Below are 12,116 nucleotides of genomic sequence, written 5' to 3'. Positions count from 1 at the left end.
CCCACATTTCCTTCTTCCCTGTTTCTCACCCTGACCACACTTAGTTTATTGATGGCAGTTCCACCAGGCCTAATTGTCACACACCAGCAAAAGCAGGCTATGCTATAGTACAAGCCACTAGCCCACCTCTCAGAACCTCTCGTTTCCTTTCCATTGTGGAAATCTATCCTCAAGGAAATAACTTCTCAGTGTTCCATCTGCTATTCTACTACTCCTCAGGGATTCTTCAGGCCCCCTCCCTTCCCTACACATCAAGCTCAGGGATTTGCCCCCACCCAGGACTCCCAAATTAGCTTTACTCAACGTGCCCTGAGTCAGGAAACCAAAATAACTCTTGGTCTAGGTAGACACTTTCACTGGATAGGTAGAGGCCTTTCCCACAGGGTCTGAGAAGGCCACCACGGTCATTTCTTCCCTTCTGTCAGACATAATTCCTCAGTTTGGCCTTCCCACCTCTATACAGTCTGATAGCAGACCGGCCTTTATTAATCAAGTCAGTCAAGCATTTTTTCAGGCTCTTAGTGTTCAGTGAAACCTTTATATCCCTTACAGTCCTCAGTCTTCAGGAAAGGTAGAACAGACTAATGGTCTTTTAAAAACACACCTTACCAAGCTCAGCCACCAACTGAAAAAGGACTGGACAATACTTTTACCACTTTCCCTTCTCAGAAGTCAGGCCTGTCCTTGGAATGCTGCAAGGTACAGCCCATTTGTTGCGGGAAGTCAGGGACCCCAAAACGGAGGGACCGGCTGAAGCCATGGCAGAAGAACGTGGATTGTGAAGATTTTATGGACATTTATTAGTTCCCAATTAATACTTTTGTAATTTCTTATGCCTGTCTTTACTGCAATCTCCAAATATAAATTGTAAAGATTTCATGGACGCTTATCACTTCCCCAGTCAATATCCTTGTGATTTCCTATGCCTGTCTTTGCTTTAATCTCTTAATCCTGTCAGCCGAGAAGGATGTATATCGTCTCAGGACCCTGTAATAATTGCGTTAACTACACAAATTGTACAGCATGTGTGTTTGAGCAATATGAAATGTGGGCATCCTGAAAAAAGAACAGGATAACAGCAATTGTTCAGGGAATAAGAGAGATAACCTTAAACTCTGACCGCTGGTGAGCCGGGCAGAACAGAGCCATATTTCTCTTCTTTCAAAAGCAAATGGGAGAAATATCGCTGAATTCCTTTTCTCAGCATGGAACGTCCCTGAGAAAGAGAATCCACACCTAGGGGTAGGTCTCTGAACTGGCACCCCCAGGGCGTACCTGTCTCTTATGGTTGAGATTGCAGAGGTGAAATAAACTCCAGTCTCCCATAGCGCTCCCAGGCTTATTAGGAAGAGGAAATTCCCACCTAATAAACTTTGGTCAGACCGGTTAATCTCAAAACCCTGTCTCCTTATAAGATGTTATCAATGACAATGGTGCCAAAACTTCATTAGCAATTTTAATTTCACCTCGGTCCTGTGGTCCTGTGATCTCACCCTGTCTCCACTTGCCTTGTGATATTCTATTACCTTGTTAAGTACTTGATGTCTGTCACCCACACCTATTCGTATACTCCCTCCACTTTTGAAACTCCCTAATAAAAACTTGCTGGTTTTTGTGGCTTGTGGGGAATCACGGATCCTACCAATGTGTGCTGTCTCCCCCGGACGCCCAGCTTTAAAATTTCTCTCTTTTGTACTCTGTCCTTTTATTTCTGAAGCCAGTCGACGCTTAGGAAAATAGAAAAGAACCTACATGATTATCGGGGCAGGTCCCCCGATACCCATTGGATCTCCTGTATAGACGCTCCTTTTTATTAGGCCCCAGTCTCATTCCAGACACAAGACCAACTTGGACTGTGCCCCAAAAAGCTTGTCATCCCTACTATCTTCTGCCTAGTCATACTCCTATTCACCGTTCTCAACTACTCATATATGCCCTGCTCTTGTTTACACTGGTGGTTTACACTGTTTCTCCAAGCCATCACAGCTGATATCTCCTGGTGCTATCCCCAAACCACCACTCTTAACTCTTAAATAATCTTTGCTCTCAAGGTTATGCTGAACCTCCTTAGGCACTCTAATTAGATGTCCTAGGTCCTCCCAATTCTTAGTCCTTTAATACCTGTTTTTCTCCTTCTCTTATTCCGTTTAGTTTTTCAATTCATACAAAACTGTATCCAGGCCATCACCAATAATTCTAAATGACAAATGTTTCTTCTAACAACCCCACAATATCACCCCTTACCACAAAATATTCTTTCAGCTTAATCTCTCCCACTCTAGGTTCCCATGCCACCCCAATCCTGCTCGAAGCAGCCCTGAGAAACATCGCCCATTATCTCTCCATACCACCCCCAAAAAATTTTCACCATCCCAATACTTTACCACTATTTCATTTTATTTTTCTTATTAATATAAGAAGACAGGAACGTCAGGCCTCTGAGCCCAAGGTAAGCCATCATATCCCTTGTGACCTGCATGTACACATCCAGATGGCCGGTTCCTGCCTTAATTGATGACATTCCACCACAAAATAAATGAAAATGTCCTGTTCCTGCCTTAAAGGATGACATCATCTTGTGAAATTCCTTCTCCTTGCTCATCCTGGCTCAAAAGCTCCCCTACTGAGCACCTTGTGACCCCCACACCTACCTGCCAGAGAACCCCCCTTTTTCCTTTACCTACCCAAATCCTATAAAGTGGCCCCACCCCTATCTCCCTTCACTGACTCTCTTTTTGGACTCAGCCCACCTGCACCCAGGTGAAATAAACAGCTTTATTGCTCACAAAAAGCCTGTTTTGTGGTCTCTTCACACGGACGCGCATGAAAAAGAGCGTCCTTTTTTTTTTTAGATGGAGTTTCACTCTTGTTGCCCAGGCTGGAGTGCAATGTCATGATCTCAGCTCACTGCCACCTCCTCCTCCTGGGTTCAAGCAACTCTCTTGCCTCAGCCTCCCCAGTAGCTGGGATTGCAGGCATGCACCACCATGCCCAGCTAATTTTGTATTTTTAGTAGAGATGGGGTTTCTCCATGTTGGTCAGGCTGGTCTCAAACTCCTGACCTGAGGTGATCTACCTGCCTCGGCCTCCCAAAGTGCTGGGATTACAGGCATGAGCCACTGCGCCTGGACAAAAGTGTCCTCTTATAAGGACATTTGTCTTTAGATGTACAGCCTACCTAAAATACTTCAGGATAATCTCAAGATCCTTAACTTAATTACATCTGCAAAGACCCTTTTTCCAAATAATGCCACCTCCACAGATTCTAGGCACAAGGATCTGGATATATCTTGTGCAAAGCCACCATTCAGCTCACTACACTAGAAAGAGGAAAAACAACGAAGTAACAAAAGGCGCAGAAGAAAGAACAGATGCAGCTTGTGTGGCAGTGGCCATCAAGGCAGGCTGGGGTAAAACTGTGTCAACAGAACCCCCAGATGGAATTCAAGTGCGGCCTCCTGCTCCCAGCTACTCACAGAGAAGGTTTCTGTTTCTGACAGCAGAGTAAGAGAAGGGGTGGGAAGAGAGATAGCCCATTCTCTGTTGGCCTAATTCCTAAGGAGTTGTGCCTCTGCCTTCGGGTCATTCTCAAGTCTTGTTCAGGGATAAAATGATTTATTGATGGTTGTAATTAAAAAGCAATGCCAACAGAATCAGCCTCAGCATTTTTCATTTGCACTTACACATGAGCAAGAGCAGTTTAGGGAAACGGGTGTCTTCAGGTTCTGTTTTCTCCATCTAGAAAAGAGTTGCCTGCGTGGAATGCTGGTCCTGGGGAGAAGCCTCATTTCTACAGCAGGAATTGATAGAGTTTTAAATTCCGATTGGTACACGGAGCTACCCGTCCTCATTTCAAGCACTTCTGGTTTGTTCTGGGTTCAGTGGGTGAGCAATGAGTAGAACTCTGGGGAGGAGGATTTGGAGTAAGCGTGGTTTTGATCCCCAGAGGGAGCTGTTTTTCCATCAATGTCTTGACTGTGATTCAGAATGGGCTTCTCCGCTGGGAGAACTGGGAGTACTGGGCTAATTTAAGGCAGGTGATTGACTTGATTTGGTGGCTACTTTTATACTAGCTGGTTAACGAGCTATTTTCTTCATTAGTTTCAGGCATATGAGCTTAATGAAGCATTGGACCTCCCAAATTACAAGGAAAATACAGATATAGCTTATGTGGTAGGTTCAAAGGAGTTAGTGAACAAACACAGTAGGGCCACAAATTATTGTTAAAGACATGAATGCATGAAAGTGTATCTCTGTCCAAATGGACTCTCCACAACCATACTGTTCCACCTGAAAATTAGTACATAGAAATTCAGCAAATGCTTGGACAGGGGATACTCTCAGAAGTATTCTGACTAAATAGCATGGTTTCTTTTCATACCACTAAAGTAATTTCTTCTCAAATTGACTCTGGACTAAATCTTATGATACCTACTTGTTCCGATTGTACTTAGCCACCTGCAAATAAGGTGGGGGCAGTGGTAAGAGGAGCTGTTGAATGAAATTAAACATTCGTTGGATGCCTACAGAAGATAAAGCCCTGTGCTTTGTGCCAGGGAGGTTCCAGAATAAATGAGGCACAGACCTACTCTCAGGAAGCTTTTGCAAACTAATGGAGAAAACACATCTGCAGGCAATGACTTATGGTATAAGAGGAAATGGGGCCAGGTATGGTGACTCACACCTGTAATCCCAGCACTTTGGGAGGCCGAGGTAGGGGGATCACTTGAGGTCAGGAGTTCAAGACCAGCCTGGCCAACATGGCGAAACACTGTCTCTACTAAAATTACCAAAAAAAAAAAAAAAAATGAGCCAGGCTTGATGGTGTGCACCTGCAATCCCAGCTACATGGGAGGCTGAGGCACAAGAATCACTTAAACCTGGGAGGTGGAGACTGTAGTGAGCCGAGATCCCACCACTGCACTCCAGCCTAGAAGACAGAGCGAGACTCCGTCAAAAAAAAAAAAAGGAAATAAGATTGGTGTTGAATGGGAAATCTAAGCAGGATGGAATGACAGGAGAGCACCCACTTGCCCAGCTCCAATAACACTTTTGACAGCCAAGACAATATTGCAGGGACACCCATTCCTCATGGTATCTGAAGCCCCATGAAGGCTTGAGTCTGGAGGCTGGTTCAGTCTTGACTTTAAGATAAGGCGATACAAGGAATGATTTTCACCTATCCCAAGCCAATAGTCCAGCCAAAAATCTAGGTCTGAGATGATGAGAAAAAGCAAGTCATCAACCATGTCAGCCATTTCATCATCATCTTCATCATCAAAAACAAAAGACAGACCTGTACCCATCTTGCGTGCCTGGCTCTCATCTTAGTTCAAAATATAGAAGTAAATTCTATGGCCAGCGAACAATGACCAAAATAGCTCTCATCACTCTTGTCTGCCACCATGTAAGACATTCCTTTTGCCTTCCACCATGATTTCGAGACTTCTTCAGCCACATGGAACTGTGAGCCCATTAAACCTCTTTTTCTTTATAAATTACCCAGTCTTGAGTAATAAAATAGTGGTTTGTCCACAACATCAATGAACGATGCTGTTACTTGTTCCAAACATGTATCATTTAAGAGGTTTGGATAAACAACAACCTAAAATAAATAAGCACTAAGCAAACTCAGGGCTACATAATCCCTGTGGTGAGGTAACTGACAATGGGTACAACTGGGACACTTTACTGTTAAATCACCTCTATCTACATGTGCCCAAGCAGTGAGATACTTGGTTTTAATCCTAAAAAATCATGGTGCACATTTACTCCTGCCTTCCAACTGGGCTCTAACGTCACCTCCTCAGAGAAGCCCGCTTTTCTGTGCTTCCACTCTGCTTTTTTTCAGCATTTAGTAGAGCATCAGTCACCATCCATATCTGGCAACAACGATTGTAAGAAACAGAAACCCATTTGCATGAGCTTGAGGACAAGGAACACACATTATCTCTAACAGGCAAACTCATGGGCACAAGAAACAAATGAGAGGCCATGAGAGAATGGAAACTGCAGTTACAGAAACCAAAATTCCACTTTCTTGCTCTCAGAAGCCCATGGTCTCTTTTTTTTTTCTTTTTTCTTTTTTTTTTTTTTTTTTTTTTTTTTTGAGACGCAGGCTCGCTCTGTTGCCCAGGCTGGAGTGCAGTGGTGCGATCTCAGTTCACTGCAAGCTGCACCTCCTGGGGTTCATGCCATTCTCCTGCCTCAGCCTCCCAATTAGCTGGGGCTACAGGCACCCGCCACCACACCCAGCTAATTTTTGTATTTTTAGTAGAGATGGGGTTTCACCGTGTGTGCCAGGATGGTCTCAATCTCCTGACCTCGTGATCCGACCATCCTGGCCTCCCAAAGTGCTGGGATTACAGGCGTGAACCACCGCACCTGGAAGCCCATGGTCTTTCTTATCAGGCCTGTGGACTTTCTTATCTCTTCTTCTCACTCACAACCAATTTTCCCTTTTTGCTGGTGGCCCATCATGGCAGCCAGCAGAGCCCACCGCCAGCTGATCAGTCAGTTACTGGATATCTTGGAGAGGGAGGGAGGGAGAGAGGGAGAGGTAGAGAGAGAGAGAGAATGACAATTGGGCTTCTGGCCAACCAATTGAGTATAGGGAGGGGAAGTACCATGGTACAAATATAGCGCCAAGACCTGCTTTCCAGCATGGCCAGTGAGTAGGGAAATTGAGAGAAGGTACCTGCAAACACAGTAGACATCTCAGAACATGCTCTCTGTTCTTAGTTCTCTCTCCTGCCTTCTCCTAGATTGTAAATACCACAAGACAATCTAGGATAGTACCTGGCTCAAAATATTTGAGAAAGAGAAAAAGGAAGGCATTGGATCAAACTGTGGACTTCATGGTTTCCTAAATTCACTCTGCAAGTTTTTGGGTTTTTTGTTTTTTGAGACAGAGTCTCGCTCTGCTGCCCAGGCTGGAGTGCAATGGCATAATCTTGGCTCACTGCAACCTCCACCTCCCAGGTTCAAGAAAATCCCCTGCCTCAGCCTCCTGAGTAGCTGGGATTACAGGCACGCACAGCTACACCAGTTAATTTTTGTATTTTTAGTAAAGACAGGGTTTCACCATGTTGGCCAGGCTGGTCTCGAACTCTTGGCCTCGTGATCCACCCACGTCAGCTTCCCAAAGTGCTGGGATTACAGGTGTGAGCCACCACACCTGGCCGACTCTGCAAGTATTTAAGTGAATGAATGTCAGTCCCTGAGAATCAGAATTTCTTCTGATTTAACGGCATTAAATCTCCGTTAGGTTTAATCCTGGTCAGCAGCTGTGGGGTGTCTTGGCTTTGGGATCAGTGGGATGAGGAACAAGCAGGTTCTCCAAACCACCACTCAGGGAGGGGAGGTGTTAACTAGGCCAAAGATGATGGGTGGGGTACGTTCCTGGGTTTCAAACAGCTTATGCCAGGCCTAAAAACCGACGCTGAGGAAGAAACTGTGTTAAGCAAATTGATGACACAATGGAGGGGGTCAAAAAGTTTAATATTGCTAAGAAGAATACAAATATTGATCATGCAATATGTTATGGTTATCACGCCATCTCCTGCTACATGCCAGGTTTCCTTTACCATGAGATAGAAGAGATTTGTGGATCTGACCCAACCTTCCAAATTGTAAGGTCCCTGAGAGTGGGCTCATGACATTCATGTTTATAAATGTGGCATAAAGCCTCACGCTGGCTGCCATGTGGCCCAATGCCAGTTCGATGCTACATTCAAAGAACCATCATTCCAGCATGCAAGCATACTTAAAGGCAACTGAAATGTTTACCGCCATCCCTCAAGACAAACACCAAAGAAAAATTATTTTCAAAATGCATAACAACCATTCTTAAAATCTTATTTTCCCATCTCTTTCTCTCTCTCTACCGCATTCCCAGGAGTTTCCCAGGAGCAAAACTGTCATAAAGACCCAGGAGCAAAATGATTAATGACTTCACTATATCTGATTCTGATTTAGTTGGTTTAGAGTGGTGTCCGCGCATAAGTATTTTTTAATATCTTGCTGGGCACAGTGGCACACAGCTGTAGTCTCAGCTACTTGGGAGACTGAGGCAGAAGAGTCACTTGAGCCCGGGAGTTTGAGTCCAGCCTGGGCAACAGAGCAAGACCCTGTCTCTGAAAAAAAAAAAAAAAAGCAAAAACAAATCTCTCTCAGCTGCAGTCAGGGTTGATAACTAGTTGATCAAAAAATTGTGGTAGCCATCCTTCACAATGGACTTTAATATTCCCACCTCCTGGTGTTATTCATTGTGGAATCTGTCTTAGCTAGTCCTCAATTGGTTCTGGTATCCAGGCCCCACCTTGAGAGGCTAGTCCCACCTCCTACCTCACACATGGTTTTACACTTACTTTCAAGACTGGCCTAAAAATGTAAAATGTATTTGTTTTGACCTTGTTTCCAATGAAACGACTATTCTAAACATTCATTTAGGATGGTTAGGGAAATTTGAACACCGGCTAAATATTAGAAGATATTTGCTTCAAAATAACCCAGCTTGGTAATGAGATGATGGCGGCTGAGGCTGGTGATAGGCACAGAGGGCTTCATTATCAAATAGAAACAAGTGGAAAAAACAGAATTTTTCCATAATACAAATGTAAGGTAAACACGAAAATGTACTGAGTGCATAAAAAGGATTTATGGTCTCACAGGCATTAGCTTATAATTTTAACATCAAAAATAAAAGTGACGGCCAGGTGCAGTGGCTGATGCCTGTAATCCCAGCACTTTGGGAGACCGAGGTGGGTGGATCACGTGAGCCCAGGAGTTTGAGACCAGCCTGAGCAACATAGTGAGACCCCCATCTCTAAAATAAGTAAATATAAATAAAAGTGACTAGAATTGATTATAGAACATCAACTCGATTTGAGTCTATAAAGATTACTGGTGGAGGGGGGCAATGGGGAGAAGGAGGAAGAGAATATATTTGTGACCTAGATTATGTTCCCTAGTTTTGAGAGAATCTTCGGGTCTCCTGGGTCTTCTAGCCCAGTATTTATGTTTATTTTTTATTTATTTATTTATATTTTTTTAGATGGAGTCTCACTCTGCCACCAGACTGGAGTGCAGTGGTGCGATCTCAGGCCACTGCAACTTCCGCCTCCCAGGTTCAATCTATTCTCCTGTCTCAGCCACCCAAGTAGCTGGGACTACAGGTACCTGCCACTTCACCCAGATAATTTTTTTTTTTTTTTTGAGACAGAGTCTGGCTCTGTTGCCCAGGCTGGAGTGCAGTGTTGCAATCTGGGCTCACTGCAAGCTCCACCTCCCAGGTTCATGCCATTCTCCTCCCTCAGCCTCCCGAGTAGTTGGGACTACAGGCACCTGCCACCATGCCTGGCTAATTTTTTTGTATTTTTAGTAGAGAAAGGGTTTCACCGTGTTAGCCAGGATGGTCTCGATCTCCTGACCTCGTGATCTGCCCGCCTCAGCCTCCCAAAGTGCTGGGATTACAGGCATGAGCCACTGTGCCCGGCCGCACCCAGCTAATTTTTGTATTTTTTGTAGAGATGGTGTTTCACCATGTTGATCCAGGCTGGTCTCAAACTCCTGACCTTAGGTGATCCGCCCGCCTTGGCATCCCAAAATACAAGGATTACAGGCATGAGTCACCACACCCTGCCTATTTTCCTTAGTTTTCAGAGAACCTTTGTGTCCCCTGGGTGTTCTAGCCCAGTATATCTCAAACTTTGCTGCACCGAGGACCTTGTTGAAATGCAGGTTCTCATCTGCGAGGCTCAGTGGGCTGGCAAATCTGCATTGGTTTAGGAAGCTCACCCTGAGTACCAAGCTTCAGTGAGGACCAGGCAGGCCCCTGCCTGCCAACGCCCTCTCAGCTGGGCTTAACTCTGGCTCTCTCCTGCCAGGGTTCCTCCCCTCAAAATAGGAGCTATTTTCAAAAAGTCTCTTGGAAAAAAGGCCCTTTTTTAAAATTGGGGTGTTCAGGATTGGCCATGTGCTCACCATGGGGTTTTAAGACCTTTGCCCAGACCCCTGCAACCAACTTAGAACTGACATCTTTACTTTTGAAGGCCCCACTCCACACCATATTAAATTCATTAAAATCAACCCCCATTACAGGCATATCTCAGGCATCAGGCCCTCAGAACGGAGTTGCAGCTGATCACTTGACAGTGTTGTAAAGCATTAAACAAGCATTCATTTCAGCCTTGCAGTTTGCATATTTAGGAGCCAATTGTCTTAGGTCTAAAGCATTCATGCCGAAGCATTTTTATGGGCCCCAGACACTATGCTTCCCAGCCTTAATGGCCTCTGCAATGCTGGTTCCTACTGCCCCACCCCTGGGTTCTGGCCGGCTAGCCCGCGCCACCTCACTGCTCCCCCATTCAAGTGTGCCTTAAATGTGTGGTTTCCAAACTCATCTACACTTTAGGGTCACCTGGGATTTTTTTTTAAATCTTCCAAAACCCAGGCCACACCCAAGAACAATTAAACCTCAACCTCTGGAATGGGACATAGCATCGTTTTTTGTTTTGTTTTAGAGACAGGGCCTCGCTCTGTTACCCAGGCTGGAGTGCAGTGGCACAATCATAGCTCATTACAGCCTCCAACTCCTGGGCTCAAGAAACCCTCCCACTTCAACCTCCACGGTAGCTGGGATCACAGGCGGGCATCACCACACCTGGCTAATTTTTAAATTTTTTATAGAGACAGTATCTCCCTATGTTCTCCAGGCTGGTCTCAAACTCCTGGGCTCAAGCGATACTCCCGCCTCAGCCTCCCAAACTGCTGGGATTATAGGCATGGGCCACCATGCCTGGACATCAGCATCTGTATTTTTTGAAGCACGGACGAGTTTGGGAACTACCGCGCTAGACTGAGCTCAGTTTCCTAGCCCTGTCTGACCATAGGTTTCGGCTGGGCTGCTTCTGAAAACAGAGCTCCCCAGGCTCCTTCCCAGGTAATTCTGATTCATTAGGTCTGGGGTGGGCCCCGGAATGTGCATTTTTTATGAGATCCCTCTGGGTGAATCAGGCTAAAGCCAGTTTGGGATCTGAGACCTTGGAGATCGTTCCCTAGCTTCCCTCTTAACCCAGTTCCCAGCTTGGCCTACCTCACCCAGGCTGTGTCACGTCTGACTTCGCAGATTACACCTGAGAGGGAAGCCCCAGCCATCACAACGTGAGAACCTTTTGCAATGACCAGGATATGCCAAATACATTTTAAAACTCATTCAGGATTAGCGTTCACCTTAAAATTGACAGACTCTGAGAATGGGCTGGCCACGTGCTGCGCACAACCCTTAGTGCTCTTCTGTGACTAATATTTGGATAATTGATTGTTGGAAGCTCAGGAAGCCTCTCTCTCTCAGAGGGGTCGAAGTTAACTTCTTTATTTCTGAGGTAGGGAAGAAAATGAGGATGTTCTGCCTTTTGCTAGACTGAATACTGTCCTCCAAAAATTCACATTCACCAGGAATCCCAGAATGTGACCTTATTAGAAAATAGGGGCAGGGCATGGTGGCTCATGCTTGTAATCTTAGCACTTTGGGAGGCTGAGGCAGGAGGATCACTTGAGGTCAGGAGCTCAAGACCAGCCTGGCTAGCATGGCAAAACCCTGTCTCTACTAAAAACAGAAAAATTAGCTAGGCATGGTGCATGCACCTGTAATCCCAGCTACTTCGGAGGCTGAGGCTGAAGAATCACTTGAACCCAGGAGGCAGAGTTGCAGCGAGCTGAGATTGCGTCACTGAACTCCAGCCTGGGCAACAGAACAAGACTCCATCTCAAAAAAAAAGAAAAGAAAATAGGGTCTCTGCAGATCTAATTACAAAGAGGTCATATTGGAATAGCGTGGACCTTAAATCGAGTAATAATGGCATCCTCATGGGAAGAGAAGAAGAGACAGAGACACACAGGGGAGAAGGCCACATGAGAATGAAGGAAGAGAATGGAATGATGTGGCCACAAGCCAAGGAATGCCAGCAACCACCAGAAGCCAGAAGAGGCAAGGAAGGATTCATCCCTAGAGCCTTCAGAGGGAGCACTGCCCTGCCCGTTTCAGACATCAAGCTTCTGGAACTGGAGAGAATGACTTTCTGTTGTCCTGAGCCACTCATGTGGGGAACTTTGTT

General features: G+C 45.4%; 1 annotated feature.

The window, feature by feature from the left end:
• Positions 1,481–2,248: an enhancer, noted in NCBI's record as "NANOG-H3K27ac hESC enhancer chr3:129857063-129857830 (GRCh37/hg19 assembly coordinates)". NCBI's record gives its function as "activates a minimal SCP1, AML or CMV promoter by ChIP-STARR-seq in naive H9 embryonic stem cells {active_cell/tissue: H9 hESC(naive)}" and the evidence as "EXISTENCE:reporter gene assay evidence [ECO:0000049][PMID:30033119]".

The sequence above is a fragment of the Homo sapiens genome, chromosome 3 (assembly GCF_000001405.40).
Source record: "Homo sapiens chromosome 3, GRCh38.p14 Primary Assembly".
NCBI classification, from domain to species: domain Eukaryota; kingdom Metazoa; phylum Chordata; class Mammalia; order Primates; family Hominidae; genus Homo; species Homo sapiens.
Note: the sequence above shows the minus strand (reverse complement) of the source record. Positions and strands in the feature narration are given on the sequence as shown.